The following is a 22,677-nucleotide window of genomic DNA, read 5'->3' on the forward strand; positions in this document are numbered from 1 at the left end:
CAAAGGGATGACATCAAGTTTTCAGAACAGTGCCTATATGTTTAGGACGAAGAGTTAAATAATGAGAGAAAACAAATGCAATACAATTTCATTGGCTACCTGGTTAGACCTAGCATGAACTGTGTCTGTGATGGTGCTATTAATTTGTGATGGAGACATTGGATATTGTCTTTCCCTATTTGGTAAGAGCTTGATTCAGGTAGAGAGAAACAATAATTATTTTACAGTGTACAAAGCACTTTCTTATACGATATATTATTTTCATCCTCCCAACTAGTTTGATAGGCAGTAATATTATTCCCATTTCACAGAGGGGGAAACCTGGGTTAGGGCCCAGGAACTTGGCTGGTGAGTTTGGAAAGCTTGAATAGCAATGATTATAATCTTGGTGCACAGAAGCAGCCAGTGAAATTCTGAAATGCATATTTCTGTTCTCTACTTCCAGAGGGTCTGATTGAGTTAGCTTGGGGAAGGGCCTAAGAAATGGAATCTTTTTTATTCACACCAGGTGATTTTGAAGCATGGGGTCTACTGAGTATGCTTATGAAACATTAACTTTAGGTCCTAGGCACTGGCTTAGTTGACTGTGAGAAACTGAAGCACAAAATTGTGTGACCAAGTTCTTTCTGAGCCTCAGTTTCCTCACCTGAAAAATGAATGATGATGATAAAAATAACTAGGCTCCATGCCAAGTGATTTACATATTTCCCCTCAAATCATCTTTCTTACAAACCTAGGAGGTCGGAGGCATTGTTGTTCCTATGCTATGGGACTCAAACCCAAATCATTTCTACTCACTCTTCCTTTCATAATTGTCAGGAAGATTAGACATAGAAAGTATCTAGCACATATTCCTGATGTTGAAGGAATAGCAGCAGCTGTTATAACTACTACTAAAACTGACAATACTGACCATACAGCCACCACTAAAATGCTGGCGTTGAATTCAGATAATCTCTAAGGTTCTTCCCAGCTCCACCATACCCTGATTTCAGCATTTCAAATATATGCTGTATTTGGGGGGGGGGTTCCTAGAAAGAGTGTGGCAGTAACTGAACTCAACTATACAAAAGACCGAATTCTTCCTTTAGTTGGAGATTTATTGATTTTTGTAAGTGAGTTTATAGACAAAAACGAGGAAGATACAGAGAAAAAAGAGAAGAATTACTGTGCTTTGATAGTAGGGCTATGGGTGATTATTTTATTTTTAAAATTTTATTTTTTATACATTAATGTGGTTTCTATAACAAACACAAATTTAGAATAAAAGTAAGATATTTCTCTTGTGCTTCCAATTTACCATATACTTCTTAAATGTATTTGTATCATAATCATCAGCTGTAAGTTTACTATTAAAAAAAATCAACAAAAGAACAATATCAGAGCTAAAGGACTTCAGGCCTGATGAACCTAAGTCTAGTTTCTGTGCTCACTAGCCTTGGCTTATCCCAAAATATTAAAAGTAAAATATGATCCAATCTGCATCTCTTGCACATGTCATGTTTTGTAAATAGAAAGTTCTTGGAACAATCTGTAACATCGTTGAAGTACTTCATTCAATTCTTGGGCATTAAATTTTATCTTCTGTTCCTGCCTCATATCATTAAACAGTACCTTCACCTACATTGCAGTCAACTATGGAGGACTAATGCTCTATTTTTTTTATGTTGAACATGAAGCATAAACATGTACAGCTCTGAACCTGAGTTTTCCTTGCTTTAGAAATAAGAGGTGTTGATGAAAGAGGAAATCCCTGAGACTCTGTAAACCTTACCTGCAGGTATGAGAATACAATCTGTGTTTTATTTATTGTATTCTTTAGCAAAATTATAGTAAAATTAGTATTTTTCTTTTCATTTGCTCTCGAATTATCCTTTAGTTAACAGAGTGAACTTGTATGTCCATATTTTGGGTTTAAAGAACATGGTTACTGTAGCAAAGAAGGGGCTAGCCCATGTATTAAGGTCCTGGATTATACTGTTGCTCACAGGAGAGCATGGGTTTGAAGATGAGGCTGCATAGTAAAGTAGGTAAAAGTTTGGACCTTGGGGCCAAACTGCCTAAGCTCAAATCATGGTCCTGCCACTACTCTCTGTGCGACCTTTAGCAAGTTACTTAATCCTTGTAGACCTCTGATTTGGTCTCTTCAAAATAGGGATAGCAATAATGCCTGTCTTATAGAGACATTGTGAGGATTCAATGAATTGATATTTGTAGAAGAATATTGAGTTGGTTTTGCTAGAAGATATTAAGTGCGCAGTCTTTCTAAAATAACTAAATGCTACAAAAAGCAAAATAGCCATTCTGCAAAGAGCAGTGATTGAAGCAGGAAAAATGCCTGCCCTCATAAAGCTTACATTATAAGGAGAGAAAAATAAGCAAAACAAACTACATGGTATATATGTAAAATAAAAATAAAGAGGGGGAAGCATGGGGTGGGGCAGATATTGCAGTTATAAATAGAATGGTCATTGGAGGCTTTATTGAAAAGGGGACATTTGAGCAAAGTCTTCAAGGGGGTATGGAAGTGAGCCATGTGAGTATTTTGGTGTAGGGAAGGAAAAACATCCTTCTACCCTCTTAGGTTTGGTGGCTAACCTAAGAATTAAAACAACATAGATTAACAAGAGAAAAGCATGCACATTTATTTAATGTTTTTATGTATACATGGGAGTCCTCAGAGAAAAATGAAGACCCAAAGAAGACTTTATGCCCCAAAGCTTATATACATTTTTTACACAAAGAATGATAAACTGTGGAGATGTGACAAGACAAAAGGCCTTGGGCTAGAAGCAGTAAATTGTGGGAGTAAGGGATATACAGGCGAAACTAGTGGAAAATGAGGATGATTTTAGTTTTTTTTTACAGGTCCATTTCGATGATAACTCCAGTCATCTCTGGTGATACTATTCTTCTCTTCCTGGCACAAGGAGGGCACCTTTCTCATGGGAAATTTTATGACCTGCTTTTTGGTAGAAAGGGGAAGTCTGAGAGCTCTTCCTGCCCCTAGTGTTTCTCAAGCGCCTTCAGCTCAAAATAATCATTATGCCAAAGTGGCATATTTTGAGGTGGCATGTTCTGAGCCATTTCATGGGGTAAGGATATTCCAGGCTGAAGGAACTGGGAATGCAAAGGCCCTTAGACAGGAACATGCCTGGTATATTCAAGAGACATCTGGGAAGCCAAGGTAATGAATGACAGCAGAGCATGAGGGTGTGGGTGGCAGGAGATGAGGAGATGGTACAGGAGGCACAAATCAGGCAGCATGTTATTGATCACCGGCAGAGCTCCAGGTTTCATTCCATTCTGAGTGACATGAACGGCCATCAAAGGTGTTTGAGTAGAGGAGTGACTGTGTTTAGAATGGACTGCAGGGGAATAAGGGTAGAAGCGGGAAGACCAGTTAGAAACTGTTAGAGATGATAGTGGCTTAGACCTGAGTGACAGCAGTAGAATAGGTAAGAGATGGATTATGAGTGTGTCTGGCTGATTCACTCTTATATCCCCTATGCTAAGGCATCATGCTTGGCACATAGTAGGGACTCAATAAATACTTGCAGAGCGAATGAATAAATGGGAGTTCAACTTGGGTAAGGCAACTTCTCTAAGGCTCTGTTTCCTCATCTCTAAAATGAGGGTAAGAAAAATATTAATAGATCTACCTCCAACGGTTATTGTGGAGATTAAATGAGGTCATTCCCATGCATTGCTTAGCATAGTAACTGAAACATAAGATAGGGCTAAGATGTATACATACACATAAATATAAAGCATTTTTGCAAGAGTTTACCTTTGGAGACATGGAGGAAGGTAGACTTTTATTCTTCATTTTATGAACTAAAAGCAAAAGAAGAAAACAAGTGTTGAAATTATGAGTCATTTTCAAGTTCTTTTTGTACTTTTCACTACCATTTGGAATTTTCCTATAATGAATATGCGAGGCAAAGACAGAAATGAAAGGATAAGATCACTCAGAATTTCAGGTTTTTATAAAGCATCAGAAATGTAAGACTTTTTTCTGCTACTGCATGGCCCATTTCTCTGACTCTTTGAATGTGGGTATTATTCTCATCTTTCTCCCTCCTCTTCTCTTTTTGGTTAAAAGTAAAGAGAGCTTTTGAAGCTATTATGGAACAAGAACAACAGCCTAGTTCATCCTCACATTTTGGAGCCTCTTATTCCTTCCAAAGAACAAACACATCTATTTAGTGGCTAAGAGTCTCTTGAGCTGAAACCATTCATCACCATAACTACATTCAAACTGTCTGAGGTATACATTATAACTAAGAAAATGGGGTTCCTCATTGGAATTTACAAACTAAATATTCAAAGAAGGGTTCTGATGCTTTTAAAATAGGGGCGCCACCAAAAGGTAAAGTAAGACATGTGGTTGAAGACACAGGAAAGGGCAGAGGTCACCAGAAAAGTTGGTTGTCACGCCTGATCTTAGGGCCTCATAAAGAAATAATTATGGCAGAATGAGCCCTAAGAAGCAAGCACTTTAGCATGGCTCTCCCTGGACAAAGTGGAGAGGCCCTTCCACCCTAACTTATCCTATTGTCCTGGTCTTCAGTCTTTCCTGTCTGTTTGCCTTTCCTGGTGTTAATATACTTGTTCCTAAGGTTTTCACCCTGCTGACTTTTAGCTCTTCTTGCTAAGATTCCTGGCTGTACATTAGAAAACTCCTGAGCAACTAAACACAAAAAAATATTTGGCAGGGGGATAGGGGGTGCTTCTAGGCCCTAACTAAGACCTGTTAAATTAGAGTCTCTTTCGGGTGGCTCCTGGGCATTGGGGTTTTTTTGTCCTTTTTTTTTTTTTTTTTAAATCTAAAGCTTCCCAGTTGATTCCAATATGTAGCCAGAATTGAGACCAGAAAGCTGTTAATACCCAAGTAGTATACTAATATTAATAATGATCATAATAGATTAATAACTAACATTGAATGAACTTTAAATGTGTTAGCTGATTTAATTCTCAATGACTCTGAGGCAGTTACTATTATTATTAATGTACCCCTTCTACAGATGAAGAATTCAAGATACCAAAAATCTACATAATTTGGCAAACAAGTAAATGCTAAAGTTGGAATTCAAACACAGGTAGTTTAGTGTCCGAGCCCACACTCTTCACCACCACACTGGTGGATTGCCCACCTGCAATGTTAAAAATCGCAGAGGATAGTGATGATACTGCAGACACACTGCCTGCATTTTATCTCCTCCTTGTTAGGCTGAGCCATTCATACCTCAGTGGTCCACACCTTAAAGGCAGGATATAAAGGTAAATATATGTACCTTCTCTGATATGAACTAGAGACTCCATCCCTTCTTTTTAAGTAATGTAAATGATTAACCAGCTTTCTGTTATTCCTTTCAGAATCTCATTCATAGAATAAACTCCTGGCATAAATTAGTATCATAAGTTTTCTATTATTGCTCATTAATCAGTATGTGATGTAAGATCAAGCAGTAAGAGTTCCCCCCAACCCCAAAGAATGGTCTTTCTGTTTGTGACAAATTATTCTTGGCAATGTAATTAGCCAGTTGGGTTATTGAAACAGATGGGAAATGTTACTTCCAACATTTTAGAACTGAAATGATTCTTAGTCTGGTGATAAATGTCAATTAAAATAGTTCTCCTTTCACAGAAAAAATTAAGAAAAAATTAGTTCAAGAAAATATCAATCATGATTGCCAGCGGAAATTTGTTTCTGCAGTAAAACAAGCAAAACAAATCAAATCCATTAAAACTAGCAACAGACTGTCTTCTAAAGTCAAGTTCACATCTGGAGATTTTTATAAACTTTATTGGAAAAGTTCTGGTTATCTATATTTTTAGCATAGCAAAATATTCTTCTTGTTTGTTGAATTTGATATAAAATGTTATTTTTAGCCAAGTCCTGGGGCAACTCCTACATGGCTGGAAAATGTTCTCGGTGTTAACAAAGATGCAAAGATCTTAAATATTAATGTTATCAATCAACTGGATACTCTTAAGTATTATTTGTAATTATGTCCAATGTCATCACCACAGGGCTGACCAACAAGCAAAGAGCTGACAGTAGTAGCAAAATGTAGAAATCTCTGGTAAGCATGTTGTGTTTATCAATCCTCTTCAAATAGATGAAATTAAATTGCATTTAAAGAATGTTACTTATATTAGGCATTTTTTGTGAAAGACGTTTTAAACTATGGTGTCAGAAAACAGAAATACTAAACAGAATGCATTTAACAGGACCTTGAAATCACTGAATACTCACCTGTGTAAAAGTCAAAGTTCAGATAATTGAAATGTTCTTACTAGTCTCAAGATGTCTTTTGGTTACATAGAAATTTCCATGCTGAATTTTGATTTTTTTAAAAAGCCATTAATATGAGTCAAAATCCATTATTTCACAAGTAAATGACCTTTTTATTAAAAAAAAAAAAGAGAGAGAGAGAAGAGCAAGGAACCACCCACATCTAACCTCTTAAATCTGAGATCAATATATCAAAATTTTAATGTACATTGAAAACATTTGCATTTTATTCCACACACTACCTTTTCTTCATAATTTCTTATTCTGGACATATAGCAGTTTTTTTTGTCTTTTAAAACAGGAAAAATAAACAAACATGGTCTTATTATTGTTACTAAGTCACAGGTAGTAAAGATGGGACCAGGAGAACCTTGGAGGACTAGAAACTTCTCAAGAGTAGTTAGATTTCACATTCAGAGGGAGGACTCAGAGTCCTGCCTGGGACATACATTTGCATTCTAGGCTCAAGAGCAAATATGTCAGCTTTCCTTTGGTCAAACAATCTTTGCTACAGGTCCTAGGTAGTTATATCAGTGGAACCTACTAAAGATGATGGAATTTGTGGTATTTCAGGGTAGGAGGTAAAGTCTTAGCAGGCTCAACTATACATGATCTTAAAACTAAATTTGAAATGCAGATGTTCTATGAGTTAGTTGGATATTGTAGTTATCCCATCTATCAACTGATCACATTTGGTATGAGCTTGTTAGTTCTGATTAGGACTCATCTCAACATAATAAGTAGGGTGGCATTTAGGGCCCAGTGTGGGGGCCTAGTGATCACTGCTGGGACACTGCTTCTAAATCAACATAACTAACCTCTCTAGGATGGCAGGCTGAGGCTGCTCAAGTACTTCCTGTCTGGCATCTGGGACAGGGCTGAGTCTCTGGGTGGGAAGATGGGTGGGAGGACTGAGGCTGATGAGTATATGATATAAATGAGAGCCATTGGAATGGCTCCACATACAGGACATGTTGATAAATCATTTTAACATATTTTGCTTTCTCTCTCTGGTGGCCCATTGAGAATCAAAACTTGCAGTGAGTGACTCTATAAAACGGAAAATTGAATCAAGTCTGAAAATGATCCACATAGTTCTACAGCAGGGCTGGACACCGTGGTCAGGACCTCAATATATTCTGCTTCCACAGAATTCAGACAGTTCAGAGTTTGGTGAATTAACCTCAAAGGCAGCAAGATATCTGTCCCGGGAGTCAGCAGGTAAGCATAGCAGAAATGGCTGGAGCAGCGGGAGCCTGCTTTCCTTCTGTTGGCTGCTAGCGTCCACTCCATTATAGCTCCTGATGGAAGATTTCTACAGAGTGATGCCTCAGAATCTTCCTTATACCTTTCTTCCATGATCCTTGCACCTCTTTTTCTAGATTTGCCCACATTCTTATGTGCAAGTAACTAGATATACATTATCAGACAAGCTAGCAGACCTGCATATATCCACTTCCCTACTTTTCCTATAATTTCTTCACCTGAACCTCTATCATTCTTCTCTTTCTGTGTTGACTCTGGTGTTAACCTTGCAGGCAAGTTGAGCGTGGGTTTGGTGTCACAGTGAAGGACTAAGGGAATAGTTAGCCTTCTATTTATTAACAAATCTTCCCTTTGATGTCTGGATCAGTGTCTCTCTAATAGGAATTATTGGCATGTTAAGGCAAAAGAACATATGCTTATTGAGTGCTGACTGATTGGGGTTAATACTAATTTGATACTATTAAGGTGTGGGGCCCAGGAATGCCAAAATTCTACCTCAATGTAGAGCCACCATTCCCCTTGAGGTAACCTAGGTGGGATAGATATACGTGTAAGGGCTAATGGAAGATAGGGAATCAAAGTATCACTTTATTTTTTATTTTTATTTTTTATTTAATTTTTTTGAGATGGAGTCTTGCTCTGTTGCTAGGCTGTAGTGCAGTGGCGCAATGAAAGTATCACTTTATTATTATCTGAGCTTGTGCCCTAAACTTCACTGCAGAATATGCTGGTAAAATGGACTGGATTACAGGATTTAGAGGCAAGGTCCACAGGTCAGGATAAGAGGTAAAGAGGGAAATCTTTCTCTCTTCCTAAGCCCAAACCCTCCATGACAATTGAGATTAAAAAAAAAAAATAAACTGATGAGAGAATCCAAGCACAGTTGATCAAAGAGGAAAGAGAAATGATGATGTTTCCCTCTTTCTTTTTCATGAGAAAGTGGCTCTCTTATTGATCGGCTACTTGATTAGAGAAACAGTGGGGGAAAGAACTGCCATATCCACATGTGCAATTTTTTAAAACACACAGTGATTCTGGACACTAGTATAAATTCCCAGTCAGTGTTCTGGCCATCTGACTACTCAGGTTATAATACCTAATTTTTACAAGGGAGTTGGGAAGTGTGCCAAACCTGTAGAAGTCTATATCTACTGTATTCAGATTTTATATGCATTATTTTATATAACCTTTTGACCTCTCTCCTCTATCATCACTTGAGTGATTTCATCCAGCGTCATCATTTAACATATTTTAAATAACTCTATATACTGATAATTCCCAAATTTATATCTCCATCCCCGATTGTTCTCCTAACCTCCAGCCTCTAATATCCAACTGCCTACTCAAGCCTCAGCAATGGTGAGCGCCCCTGCCCCAGCCTCGCTGCTGCCTTGCAGCTCGATCTCAGACTGCTGTGCTGGCAATGAGCGAGGCTCCGTGGGCGTGGGACCCTCCGAGCCAGGCGCAGGATATAATCTCCTGGTGTGCTGTTTGCTAAGACCGTTGGAAAAGCACAGTATTAGGGTGGGAGTGACCCAATTTTCCAGGTGTCGTCTGTCACAGCTTTGCTTGGCTACGAAAGGGAATTCGCTGACCCCTTGCACTTCCTGGGTGAGGCAATGCCTCGCCCTGCTTCGGCTCATGCTCAGTGCGCTGCACCCACTGTCCTGCACCCAGTGTCCGACGAGCCCCAGTGGGATGAACCCGGTACCTCAGTTGGAAATACAGAAATCACCCGTCTTCTGTGTCCCTCATGCTGGGAGCTGTAGACTGGAGCTGTTCCTATTTGGCCATCTTGGAACTGCCTTGCATTCAGTTTTTAATATCCAACTGCCTATACGATATCTTCACTTGGATTTTGAATAGGCATATCAAACTTGTCATGTTCAAAAGTGAGGTTCTAATCTTCCCTCCCAAACCTGCTTCTCCCATGGCTTTCCCCATCTCAGTAAATAGGAATTTCATCCTTCCAATTGCTCATGCCAAAAATTTGGGAGTTATCCTTGACTCTTCTCTTTCTCACACCCCACATTCAATCCATCACCACATTCTGATGCCTCTATCTTCAAGATATACTTAGACTTTCACCACTTTTCTTCACTCTGCAATTACCACTTTGGTCCAAGCCACTGTTATCTCTTTCTTGGATTATTGTAATAGCTTCCTAATAATTTGTCCCCTTTCTTCCACCTTTGTTTCCCCTACAGTATAATCTTAACGAAGCAGCCAGAATGGTTGCCTACAAACCTTTAAAATGGTAAGCCAGAACATGTAGGTATATTCAAAACCTTCCAATGGCTTGTCATGGAACTAAAAGTCTCTACATTGGCCTATAAGACCCTATGTCATCTACCCCTAGTCTCCTCCTTTCTAACTTCATCTCCTGCTATGCTGTCCTTCAACTCACTCTGCTCCAGGTGCTCTGGCCTCCTCAAACACACCACACACACTTGCAGCTCACAGTCTTGGCACTTGCTGTTCTTCTCCTCTAGGACCTTCTTCCTCCAACTGTCTGGTTCACCCACCCCTTCCTTCTGGATTTCTGCTCTGATGTCATTTTATCAGTGGGCACTTCCCAATTTCTCTATTTAAGACCACAATTCCAGGCCAGGGTGGTGGTTCATGCCTGTAATCTCAGCACTTTGGGAGGCCAAGGCAGGAGGATCACCTGAGGTCGGGAGTTCAAAACCAGCCTGACCAACTTGGAGAAACCCCATCTCTACTAAAAATACAAAATTAGCCGGGTGTGGTGACACACACCTGTAATCCCAGCTACCCAGGAGGCTGAGGCAGGAGAATCGCTTGAACCAGGGAGGTGGAGGTTGTGGTGAGCCAAGATTGCACCATTGCACTCCAGCCTGGGCAACAAGAGTGAAACTCCATCTTAAAAACAGAAAAAAAAAAAAAATTAGCTGGGCATGGTGGCATGTGCCTATATACCCAGCTACTTGGGAGGCTGAGATGGGAGGATTGCATGAGCCCAGGAGGTTGAGGCTGCAGTGAGCCATGATCATACCACTGAACTCCAGCCTAGGTTACAGAGTGAGACCCTGTTTCAAAAAAATTTTTTAATTAATTAAAATAATTTTTTTTAAAAAAACAGAGACTGAAACTAGAACTCAATAGCCATTTTGAATCCAAGGCAGCTCTAGAATGCTCAGCACCAAGAGTTCATGAATCTCTACTGCTTAGCCAGCAATATGACTCAAAAACTCTCCAGTGTTTGCTTCTCTATGTCTAATCACCAGTAGACAGAAATCTCTTCATCTTCTACTCTATGTCTCCACGTCATAAGTTGCTACTAATCCAGAAGTTCTTCTTACTCATAATTTTTACCTTCTTGTAACTGTTACTCAGGTCTTTTTTTGCCCCTCCCTATCTAATGATCTCTCTTTTTCTGCATAAATTTTTAGCCTTAGCTCTTGATTTTAGTTACTTCTTTCTGTGTGTGTGTGTGTGTGTGTGTGTGTGTGTGTGTGTGTGAGAGAGAGAGAGAGAGAGACAGAGTCTCGCTCTGTCTCCTAGGCTGGAGTGCAGTGGCACGATCGGCTCACTGCAACCTCCACCTCCCAGGTTCAAGCGATTCTCCCAAGTAGCCTCTAAAGTAGCTAGGACTACAGGCAGGCACATGCCACCACACGTGGCTAATTTTTGTATTTTTAGTAGAGACAGGGTTTCACCATGTTGGTCGGGCTGGTCTCAAATTCCTGACCTCAAGTGATCTGCCTGCCTTGGCCTCCCAAAGTGTTGGGATTACAGGCATGAGCCACTACACCTGGCCCTTTCTGTATTTCTTAATTCAAATTCCCCAAAGTGAGAATTTGGTTGTCCCAGTGCATCCCAGTGTTTGATTGGCACTTTCATGCCAATCAACTTGTAAAACTGCCAGTGAGCCTAGGGACTGGCTGCCCGCAGGTTGGTGCTTGCCTCTGTTCTAATCAGCAGCTGAGGAGAGCAGAATCATGTATACAAAACACAGCTGCAGGGCCGGGCGCGGTGGCTCACGCCTGTAATCCCAGCACTTTGGGAGGCCGAGGCGGGCGGATCACGAGGTCAGGAGATCGAGACCATCCCGGCTAAAATGGTGAAACCCCGTCTCTACTAAAAATACAAAAAATTAGCCGGGCGTAGTGGCGGGCGCCTGTAGTCCCAGCTAGTTGGGAGGCTGAGGCAGGAGAATGGAGTGAACCCGGGAGGCGGAGCTTGCAGTGAGCCGAGATCCCGCCACTGCACTCCAGCCTGGGCGACAGTGCGAGACTCCGTCTCAAAAAAAAAAAAAAAAACAAAAAAAAAACAGCTGCATAAGTGGGCTTTATCAGTGGAGGACATGTGCCGGACAGTTTTCTTCAGAAAGTGTTAAGGGCCTGTCTCCCACCATAATTATCTAGTGCAGATGGTAAAGGAGTTAGAAATCTAGAAGCATCTAGGTATTTTACTTAACCAGATAGATGAACACACCAAAGGCAGAAATTTAACTCGAGAGTCTATGATTCTAATGCATCTCAGAAGGAAATAACTTAAATAATATCTTCACAGGTACTGACTTAGTTATAACCCTTCAGGAAAAGCATGTAGACACCATTATGGACAGTTCAAAGAATACATCTTTTTAAAGAGCAGTGATAATTAAGTAAATAAGAAACTATTCTGGCTAAAAAGGGTTATAGAAAACAATATGATACATTTATATTCATTTTTACAGGGTATATAATCATCCTAATTTTGAATGGCCTGTTCCATTTTATCTTCTTCATCTTAAAAATGACTGAGCTAGACAAGAAGTAGTGTAAAGGAGGTCATAAAAATTACAGTGGCAAGATAGATCCCAAAGGTGAATGACTAGGACTTTTAAGTTGGGAGAAAAACAGTAGAAATCTGATAAGGGCTATAAAATAATAAATGTTAAAGAGAAGGATGATTGGATGCTTATTTACATTTTCTAATAATAAAGGAATAAAAATACACTTGATAAAATGAAAAGGCAGAAAAATTTAAAACTCATGAGTCTTTTTTCAAACTTAATTAACTTTAGAACTTCAATCATAGGATAATTGCTACAGATAGTTTAGGATGATTCAGAAAGATTAAGCATTCATGGGAATGAGGATAGCGTTTCCAGCACCAGAATTAAAACAAAAATAATGAGCATTAGAAAGTCCTGAGACTTCAGGGCATACACTGAGCATAAGCCAGAGGAAATGTTCCCAGCTGGTATAATATTGTCGACCTGCCAGGATTGCTGGTGATCTACAAGCCTCTGAGCATGAACTGGGGGTTAGCACTGGCTTCTCTGGTGGTTTCCTTTGAGTCATTGCATCCTCAAAGGCCATATTACCAACACAGTATTGCTGCTTTGCTGTTTATTCATACATATTTTTGGTGTCTGGCTAGCTCAGAATGCCCATATTTTTTCTCCTTTTAATGAGGCTAATTTTTTTCTAATTTTGAGTGATCATTTTCAGTTTTACCCTTTCCAATCTTTCTCTAATAAGTATTTCATTTTGACTAGTCTGCATGTTTAAAAGAAGATCGGTTGATCCAAGAATCTGTCAGTAATGATGTTATTATTTATGCAGAGGAGAGTTGGGATAATCTTAGAGACTGACATTTCCTTAAGCACCCTCCTAGCCATTAAAAATAGCAGAACTGTTGCTGATGATATCTGCCAGACTTGAGTTTGGGAAGAGTGTTTCCCAGTGAAGACCTAACCTTTCATTTTAATTCTCCCCTTAGATTCATTCGCTGTGTAGTCAGAGATGCCAAAATTCCACTGCTAGTTTTGACCTCCACTTAGGGGATGTAAGCAGCTACCTACCATAACTGACTTGAGATGTATGTCAAATCTTTCATCCAGGAGCCACTCTGTCTCAAATCTCACCGTTAGTATTTAACTCCTTTGTGTTCATTCCCTCTTTTGGTATTCTTGTAAAAATAAGCATTCCCTCCATGGATGAGATATTATGCTAAGATCACTAGAGGATGTTAGTGATTCTCAGATAGTGTTTCCTCTAAGAGGCCAGGTAACAAAGAATGTCCACACTGTGTGCGCTGGGTTGGGGGGAGTTGTTGGTGGCAGTAGAAGTGATATATCTTTATATTTTTCTTATATTCGTTATGAAAACTACTCTCAAGAATAGGTACAAAGTCATTCATGGTAAGATGTTAATAACTGGTACAAACAAAATGTGTTAGCCTTTCAAAGCCTTTCGCAATGGAACAAGTGCCCCTAAACCTTTAGCCTAAAGGACAGAATCCTTAGCTGGAGTTCCAAGTTTATAGCAAGAGTGTGGGGGCAGTGTATTTTGTTCTCTGGGGTCTTCCGATGGTCACTTCAGTCACCCTACACAGGTGGTCAGTTACCTTGCCTAGGCATAAAGCAATGGGCTGTGAAGTTGCTGCTCCCCCACCACTCCCTGCCCCAGTGACAGGCGATGGGGCTGTAGCTGCAGAGGAATTATTGAGCTTGCTCTGTGGTTCACCAGTGTTACATGGCCCCACTGGGTCCTTGTGCAGAGAAAGGAATCGAAGCTGACACAGTTCAATAAGGTTTCACTGTTTTTAAAATAATTTTGACATCTTATCTTATTTGGACTTTGGATTCTTCCAACAATGTTCAGGGATGCTCAATATTTTTTGCTCTTTTATGAATAAAGAAACAGGGTGAATGAGGCATGCCCTGTTTGGTTGTTGAGACTGGGTCTGCTGGCTCTTTGTCCAGTTCTCTTGGCACTACCTCCTGCTACCTCCATCAAGGATTGTGTCCAGTAATAAAGAACATGGCCATAAAACATGTCCTAAAATATCTGCTACCAAGTGGTTCAGATAACTTAATAAATAAAATTGTCACACATGCTTCCTAATTGTAGATATAGCATTTTCTGTTTACCCTGGAACAAATTTTCCTAGGAAAGTATGCTTCCATTTCCTGTGCGGAGAGACTTTTAGACTACGTTCCAATTTAAAAATGTAGAACTTGGGGCTCTGGCTTAAAATCAGCAAGGTTCATGTTGACTTTTTTTCATTTAATTTTAAATTTCACATCAGCTTTTGCAGAGGGGTACAAGTGAGGGACTTAAAATGAGAAGAATCATAAGCCTGGTTTTAATTTACTTGTGTACATTTTCAGAATTACTGTGCCTGAAGTCTTCCAAGACTGATGGTTTTAATAAGTGGAATGTCGTGTTATCGGGATTTGTGGGGCCTGGCTATCATTTGTCAGATATTTTTCTTTTTTTATGTGTGTGCTGTTTTGTGGTTCCTTTTTGTCTCTGAGCTCTTCAAGAAAACCTTGTTGCATCCTGATAGCTTTGTCTCTCCTTTGAGAGGGTCCATAATTCTCTTTCATGCTCCTTTCCTTGTAAACATAAACGTATTTTCCTGTGTCAGAACCCCAAGCAGCTTTCTAAAAGCCAGTATGTTATTGTTCTTATGAATTGTTTATTTTGCTTGGAAGCTTTTGTTTTTTAAGTACTTCCTGTGACTGACTTTTTCTTTAAACAGAGAGCACATGAAACAATCCTCAATTTAAGGATTATAGAAATTTTTACCTGGTTTATCTACATGTGAATGATGCCTTATTGTAGCAGTTGTTGGATGTTCTCACAACCAAAACGATCCTTTCTGTTTCTCAAAATCAAAAGTGCTTCTCTTTATGTTCAATGACACTTAAAATTGGTTTATTTAGATTTAAGATGATACAACACAATGCAGCGATTCCTAATAAGAGTTACCTTGAGAAATTAGAATTATCTCTTAGGGAAAATTTATGACATCTGAAAATAAAATAGTATGACATTTTCTTTTTTGCTACTTGATTCAAATTGAACTTCTGTTCATTTTAATTCACAGAACTGTATTCTTAAAAAGAGTCCCAGCAACTCCCCGCCCCCTGGCCTTTTATGAAGAAAAGTGCCAGCAAATGATTTCCTGTATGGAATGGAGGAAAGGTCCCTGACCCTTTTATCTTCCTCATGTCCTCATCCCTTTCAACATTATCCCAAGGAGGAGAAAACGGGGAAGCCTATTAGTTGTTTTGCAATAGCTTCAGGAGTTCCAAATTCAGGCACTTCTTGACACATTTTGTCCATCACTAGGCCATGCCCTTTCTTCATTTGTTTCCTTTCCTTTTTCTCACTCTCTCTCCTGGTTTGGTGAATCCAATTTTCACATCTTCATTTTCAAGAGGAATATTCTGTTGCTGACTCTGCTTGTCTAATTGCTATTTTTCTTTTTAAAGCATGCCTATTTTCTTTCCAGCTCTTCTCTCCATATTTAGGCAGGAACTGTAATCAGCTAGTTAATATAGCAATATAGCAGATTATATTATTGATAATCTGCTGTGTTACAGACTGGGCTGGGCTTTCAATTTATGCCTTTAACCATTCTGGTGAACTTTCATTTGGTTCTGAGTTTTTGGTTCAAGGTTTGTGCTTTGGCTGTTTATTTTTTTTTGGTTTACTCCACTGTTTACTTATATGATCTTGGCCAAGTCACTTAACTTTATTGAACCTTGGAAAATAAGGAACTTTGGCTACATCCATCTTTAAAATTATCTCCTCTTCTTCTAGGTTTGCCTGTTTTTGTATGTGTATGTGTGTGTGTGTGTTTGTGTGTGTGTGTGTGCGTGTGTGTGTGTATGTATGTGTATTGACCCAAATCCCTTTCAGTAAACCTTTCCTTTACATGGGAATATAATCTCTTCCTAATAATAATTTTTGGTGAACATTAAATATCAAAGTTCGTTTAATGCTTTATATCATTTACTAGGTGCTTTCATATGTTCTATTTGTACCCTCATCTCAGTCCTAAAATGAACATTGATAGATATTTGACTACTCTAATTTTATATGTTGGGAAACTAGGGCACAGACATTAATGGATCACTCAAGGGTAACCAGCATATAGACAGCAGAATTAGGAATCAAACCCAGGTTTTTATGAGTCTTTGGTGCCATGACTCTCTATTTTATTATGAATGCACATATTTATTTGTTATTTTTATCTGTCTTAGAATTTTTAATTTTCAATCGATCAAAGAGTACTAAAAGCCTTATAATAAAATGTACATCTCCTGCCCTTCTTTCCTATGCCCCAGAGTAAGAAGCTTTCAAATCTTTTCTTCAATGTAGTGTGATTATACTGCTATTTCTGGATGTATTAATTTGGACATATAATGACTTCTTGCTAAAAAATTAGGATTTAACATTACTGTTTCCCTGCTTCTATCTTTTAAAAATAGGTAATTCTAATTTTTGGTTAAATTGATGGTCAATGTTTACCTTACTATAACTATGTAAGCAAGTATTGATCACATCTTGTACATTTTTTTTCTAGTCAACAATTGCCTTATTTTATTCATTTTCTCAAATTCTTATGTGTTTATTCTATTTCTTCCCTCAATACTCCAAGATGTGTCACATCTTGTTAATCTTCTTTCCAAAAGTCCAAACATTTCCAAATACTCATGTATTAGTCAGTTCTCACACTACTATAAAGAAATATCTGAGACTGGATAAATTATGAAGAAAAAGGTTTAATTGGCTTACGGTTCTGTAGGCTGTACAGGAAGCATATTGGCTTCTGCTTCTGGGGAGGCCTCAGGAAACTTACAGTCATGGCAGAATGGGAAGCAGGCATGTCTTACATGGCTGGAGCAAGAGGAAGAGAGGAAGCAGGGAGGTGCCACACACTTTTAAACAACCAGATCTCATGATAACTCACTCACTCACTATCACGAGAATAGCACTGAGGGGATGGTACTAACCCCTTTTATGATACCTCCACCCCCATGATCCAATAACCTCCCACCAGGCCCCACCTCCAACACTGGGGATTGTAATTCAACATGAGATTTGCTGGGGACAAAGATCCAAATCATATCAACTCATATCCATGATCTTCATGGATACCTCTCTCCCTAGCCCTCTGTTCCAGGTTAGATTGATTATTCTGTTGGCCTGGGGCACAGCTGTATGTCATCCTGAGATGTCCCTGCACAATTCTCTTCTGTTTTGTCTCTTCCTTTATTATATTTTCTAGTAGTAGCCTAAAAAAGGGCACACTGGGAGATAAATTTTATAAATGCTTGTGTGTCATTATCCTCATATCTTACTGTTAAATGTCTTTATCCTCATACTTTACTGATAGCTTGGCTGGGTATAGAATTCTAGGTTGAAAATAATTTTCCCTTATATATCTACTTTTTCCCTTACATCTCAGGTTTGTTGTTGAGAATTTTAATGCTATTCTTCCTCTAATCCATTGCATTTGTCTTTCCCCCTTCAATTTGTGAGTCTTTTTTTTTTTTTTTTTTTTTTTTGAGACGGAGTCTCGCTCTGTCGCCCAGGCTGGAGTGCAGTGGCGGGATCTCGGCTCACTGCAAGCTCCGCCTCCCGGGTTCACGCCATTCTCCTGCCTCAGCCTCCCAAGTAGCTGGGACTACAGGCGCCCGCCACTACGCCCGGCTAATTTTTTGTATTTTTAGTAGAGACGGGGTTTCACCGTTTTAGCTGGGATGGTCTCGATCTCCTGACCTCGTGATCCGCCCGCCTCGGCCTCCCAAAGTGCTGGGATTACAGGTGTGAGTCTTTTTATTCAGTGTTTTATGTTGCAGTGGGTCTTTCATCTGGGGGTTCAGTTTAGTTCTGGGAAATTTCCTCATGTTAATACTAGGATGAACTGATATAAACAAATTTTGTCTGCTCCTATATATGTTGTGTATTAATGTACTCTCATATTAATACATGCATTCATAGTATAAATGCTTAATTTAAAATACTATCTATTCATGAATTCTCTAATTTTCTTAGTTTTTCCTTCATGATAAAGGAGAAACTTTCTTTACCTTTTCATTATAATTTCTAGGAAATTTCCTACACTTTATTTTCCCAAATTTTATTGCATTTTAAGTTTGGTTACTGCTTATTTATTTACTTATTTATTTATATTTTTGTTTTCTGATTGTCCCCTTATTATTATTATTTTTAAAGAATATCCACTTTTGTTTTATGGTGCACAATCTTTGCGTATCATTTGACTTTGTTTCCTTTAATTTCATTTTCTTTGTTTTGTTTCTATCTTTTATGTCTAGTGAACATTTACTGTCCTTATTTAGGAGAAAATTATGGAAAAAAGGATTAGGCAAAGCTTATTAACTATCAGGCTTCACTGTATAGTGATCCAGAAGCTGGATTTTCATTTGGTTGGAAGATGCCAAATGACAGTATCTTTTGTCTTGGAACCATTAAACGTCTGCAGATAAATATCCTTCAGTTTTCTGTCTGGGGGTTATTCATTTGATTATTGATGTTCTGGGAACCGGAGGAAAAGATGGCAGGGAAATTTTATCATTCATTATGTAGATTTTCACTTAGTCTCTCAAGTTCCAGCTGTATACTTCACTCCCTCCTTCTACCTTGCCTGGTGTTCCAAGTCTGGAGCCTCTGATTCAATTTCTCAAGAGATTAAACCTCTGTCAGGGCTGGGTTTGGGGTAGTGTTTAGCTTCTTGGGATGAGAGGGAGAGTATGGGTCCTTATTCTGCTCTCAACCATTCCCCTTATTTTTATCCTAGAGCCCCACCTCTGCCTTCCTGGTAACTCTTGCATCTGAGTCCTGAGGCTTTCTGGGGATCTTTGGGAGAAACAGATTTGTTTCTTGTTGTTACTTATCTCTGATGGTGTGTATGTTTTAGTTATTACGTCTCAATTCACTTTTCTCCTTCATTGACACTTCCAAATGCCTTGTCACCTCTCATCTGCAAGTTGGCTGTTTTCTCATTTTCTTTATCATTGTGAGTTTATACCTGAAAAAAATTAAAAGAAAAAACAAAAAACAAAAACCTTTCCTATCATGTTGGCAGAGTTTCCAGAGGGAGCAGAGGTAAATGCACATACTTGATCTACTTTGTTTATCAGGAAGCCCTAGCCCATATTTTTATTGAATTAGATTTCACTAAAGACAAGTTTCTGCAATTGGCTATTAGCAATCAACTTTTTTTGGTGACAAGACTGAATATTTAGGATTAAAAGTTTAAGGATGTTCATTTTATTTCCCAGCTAAAAAAGAATGTAGTAGCCCAGCATAGTGAATTTATAATCTTTGGATTTATTTCCTTGGATTTACTTATAACAATATGTTTGAAATGTGTTAAGTAGAAAAATTGGCAGAAGTGTATGTGTGTGTTTGCAACTGTGACAGCAAGGGAAACCGATGGAAGAAAAGAATGAATCCAAGAGAAAGCAGAATGTTAGATTTTGATTGGGACGGTGGTGGTGTTTCAGATCCATAGCCATATAAACATTTTAAATATCATCAATAATTTTTTAATAAGTACCTAAATTTGATGGTTGTTTTTTTAAACTGTCTAACGTTACAGACCATTCATCATCTATTTGTGTCTTAAGAATACTGCCCCAGTTTCGCTGTGGGTCCCTTTGAGTGAATGCATTTCTAGCTTTTGAGGCCACGCTATCTGTAGTTCTCATTATCTTGGTTGCTTTCAGAAGCCTCATATAAGCCAAAGGGTGAACAATAACCAGAGAACAGAGATTCTTAAATTAAGCAACTGAAAAGAGTCTGCTTTGGTTCATTAGCCCAAATAGGATCTTTTACTTTTTGAGTAGCAATCAAAAGATATTGGATCTATCATTTCTCTTGTTCTCTTAAAAAATCACTTAAATTTCCTTTAAACAATCTGGTGATGTGATGTCAGATTTTTGCCCATCATATTATAACATCATTGTTAAGTAGTATGAATGGAAATGAAACATACACCTCAAAATATCTAACGGTCCTGATATAAGGCTAAAGAAAACAAATAGTCTTTTCTTATCTTTCCCCTTGGATGAATTTAAAATAGATAATTCTTAACAGTTTCATCCTACTTCCGTAGGGTGAATTTTCCCCCAGTATGGCTTTGGAGTAAATTTTCACCTTTTTGCTAGATTTATGACTGCTATTACCAATACTATTAATTATTTCAGTATGATATAGCACTTCTAGGAGGCTGACCCTACTTAATTGGAAAAAAAGAAAATATGTTGGAGCTTTAACATTTCTTGATCATAGAAGGTACTGAAACATAACTCATGATTCTAGGCAAACTTTGCCATTGAGTTTTTGTGTGACCATATAAAATAATTTAAGTTTTCTGTGTCTACATTTGTAAAGTATATGACACTCAACTGTATAATGAGCTCACAGTCTAGTGAGCTTGATAGAAGATAAGCTAATCTGGGGTAGAAATCATGCTTTATTCATATTTGTTTTCTCTTGCTTAAATTCATAATAGTTACTCAGTAAGTGTTGACTAAAAGTGTTTGAGAGAGAAACAAAATACAAGGTGAGTGAAAATTCTGAGATCCTTGTGAGAATAATTCATATAAATTTAATATATTCAGCTTGATTCTAAAGGCAATGTTGAGAGGAGGCCCGTGGGGCTGCATGTTCTTCAGTGTAATGTGAAGTACTGAGCTGATTATAGTGGTTATTCAATTAAAAGATATGTATTTTAAAATTATTATTATACTTTAAGTTCTGGGATACATGTGCAGAACGTGCAGGTTTATTACATAGGTATACACGTGCCACGGTGGTTTGCTGCACCCATCATCCCGTCATCTACATTAGGTATTTCTCCTAATGCTATCTCTCCCCTAGCCCCCCACCCCACAACAGGCCCTGGTGTGTGATGTTCCCCTCCCTCTGTCCATGTGTTCTCATTGTTCAACTCCCACTTATGAGTATATTTTTAATGGGCAAGCTCTGCTCAAATACAGGCTACAGTCAGTATGTGACTGAGCTGTGATCTCTCTCGTCAAAGGGACTACAGCGCACCCTTTGAATTACCTTCACACTCACTGACGGTTTTAAGAGTTTGGCCACTTTCCCCACGTCTGAAAGCGACTCTACCTTAGATGTGAGAAAGATGCGGCTGACTTTGGCTGGCAGATGGAGAAGAATGGAAAAGCAGCAGACAGTGTTCATGCATGGCTGACACTAGAAAGAATTCTTCTGGATTTCACAGTCATTGAAATGAAAAGATGTGATCCAGAACAGGATCTTCCTTTTAACTGGTGTCTGCAGTGTTCTCTCCTCTGCTTCTTCACTCATTTCAAGAAGTCTCTAAGGGGCAGCCTGATGTGGAAAAGATGTTAAGGGAAGAAGAGGGCATCCTAATTCTAGGTTTGATAAGGACATTTTTGATACTGGTAAAACCCTGAAATTATGGAAATTATGATTTGTTCTGTATGCCAACGAGAATCGTGGTTTTCCTTTTGCTCTTTTCCTTGCGAAGGAGCCAACTCCTTCTGGATCTTTGTTTTTATTTTTTCCTCCTTAAGTCACTGCTGAGGTATTTTTAAACCAAGCCAACACGTATATTTTATTCACCGAAGGAAGAACAAAGCATCTGCTAATAGAAGCAGTGAAAAAAGCACAGCAGTCAGAGGCCTCGTGTCTAAAGCTCAGTTCATTACTCCTAACCTGCCATTGGCCAATATTTCAACCTTTCTGAGTTGCTCTTTCTCATCTGCAAAATGGGGTTAATGGAGGATTTCATCTGCAAGTGGGGATAAGAGACATGAAAAGAACTGACGCGAAATAAACACGAGTTGAATCCTAACAATAATATTTTGACTATGTAGTTACAACAAACTTTTCTTTCTTCTTTTTTTTTTTTTCTGTGAGAAGTGCCTTTGGTGGATTTTGAATTCTTTTTCATACTGCCTGTTCTTTGGTGGGACTCCAGCAACATTGCTGTAACTCGAGGATATATGGCTGCAATGTGTGTTTGGCTTCCTTTCTCAAGGGGGTCAAATAAAAAGGCAACTGTTTAGAGAAGGCACCAAAGTACAAAACAAAAATCTCAGAATATGCCAGCCAATCTTGGAAAGTCATCTGAAGAAGAAAAAGTGCTGCTGAGGAAGGAAAACGGCCCTTTTGTGGGCATCACTTCTGCTCTTCTGAAAAAAAGCCCCGATGCTGCAATATTTTTCAAGGCAGAATATCGTCCCAGATGGAGGAGGGAGCACTGACAAGCAGAAAAGGAGAGACGTGCGGTTTCGAGGCAGCGTCTGTAAGGGGTGGAGAGCGCGGGGCTCGGAGCCTCGC

At 38.8% G+C, this 22,677-nt stretch overlaps 1 long non-coding RNA gene across 1 annotated transcript; it reads right to left on the reverse strand.

Annotated features, from left to right (window-relative positions):
• Positions 1-2,706: 2,706 nt before the first annotated feature.
• Positions 2,707-17,136, reverse strand: LOC105378496 (uncharacterized). Its single transcript, XR_946336.2, has 3 exons — positions 17,113-17,136; positions 3,791-3,837; positions 2,707-3,368 (listed from the first exon to the last, which is right to left on the reverse strand). It is a non-coding gene; the product is annotated as an uncharacterized LOC105378496 (long non-coding RNA).
• Positions 17,137-22,677: the final 5,541 nt, after the last annotated feature.

This window comes from Homo sapiens, chromosome 10 (assembly GCF_000001405.40).
Source record: "Homo sapiens chromosome 10, GRCh38.p14 Primary Assembly".
NCBI classification, from domain to species: domain Eukaryota; kingdom Metazoa; phylum Chordata; class Mammalia; order Primates; family Hominidae; genus Homo; species Homo sapiens.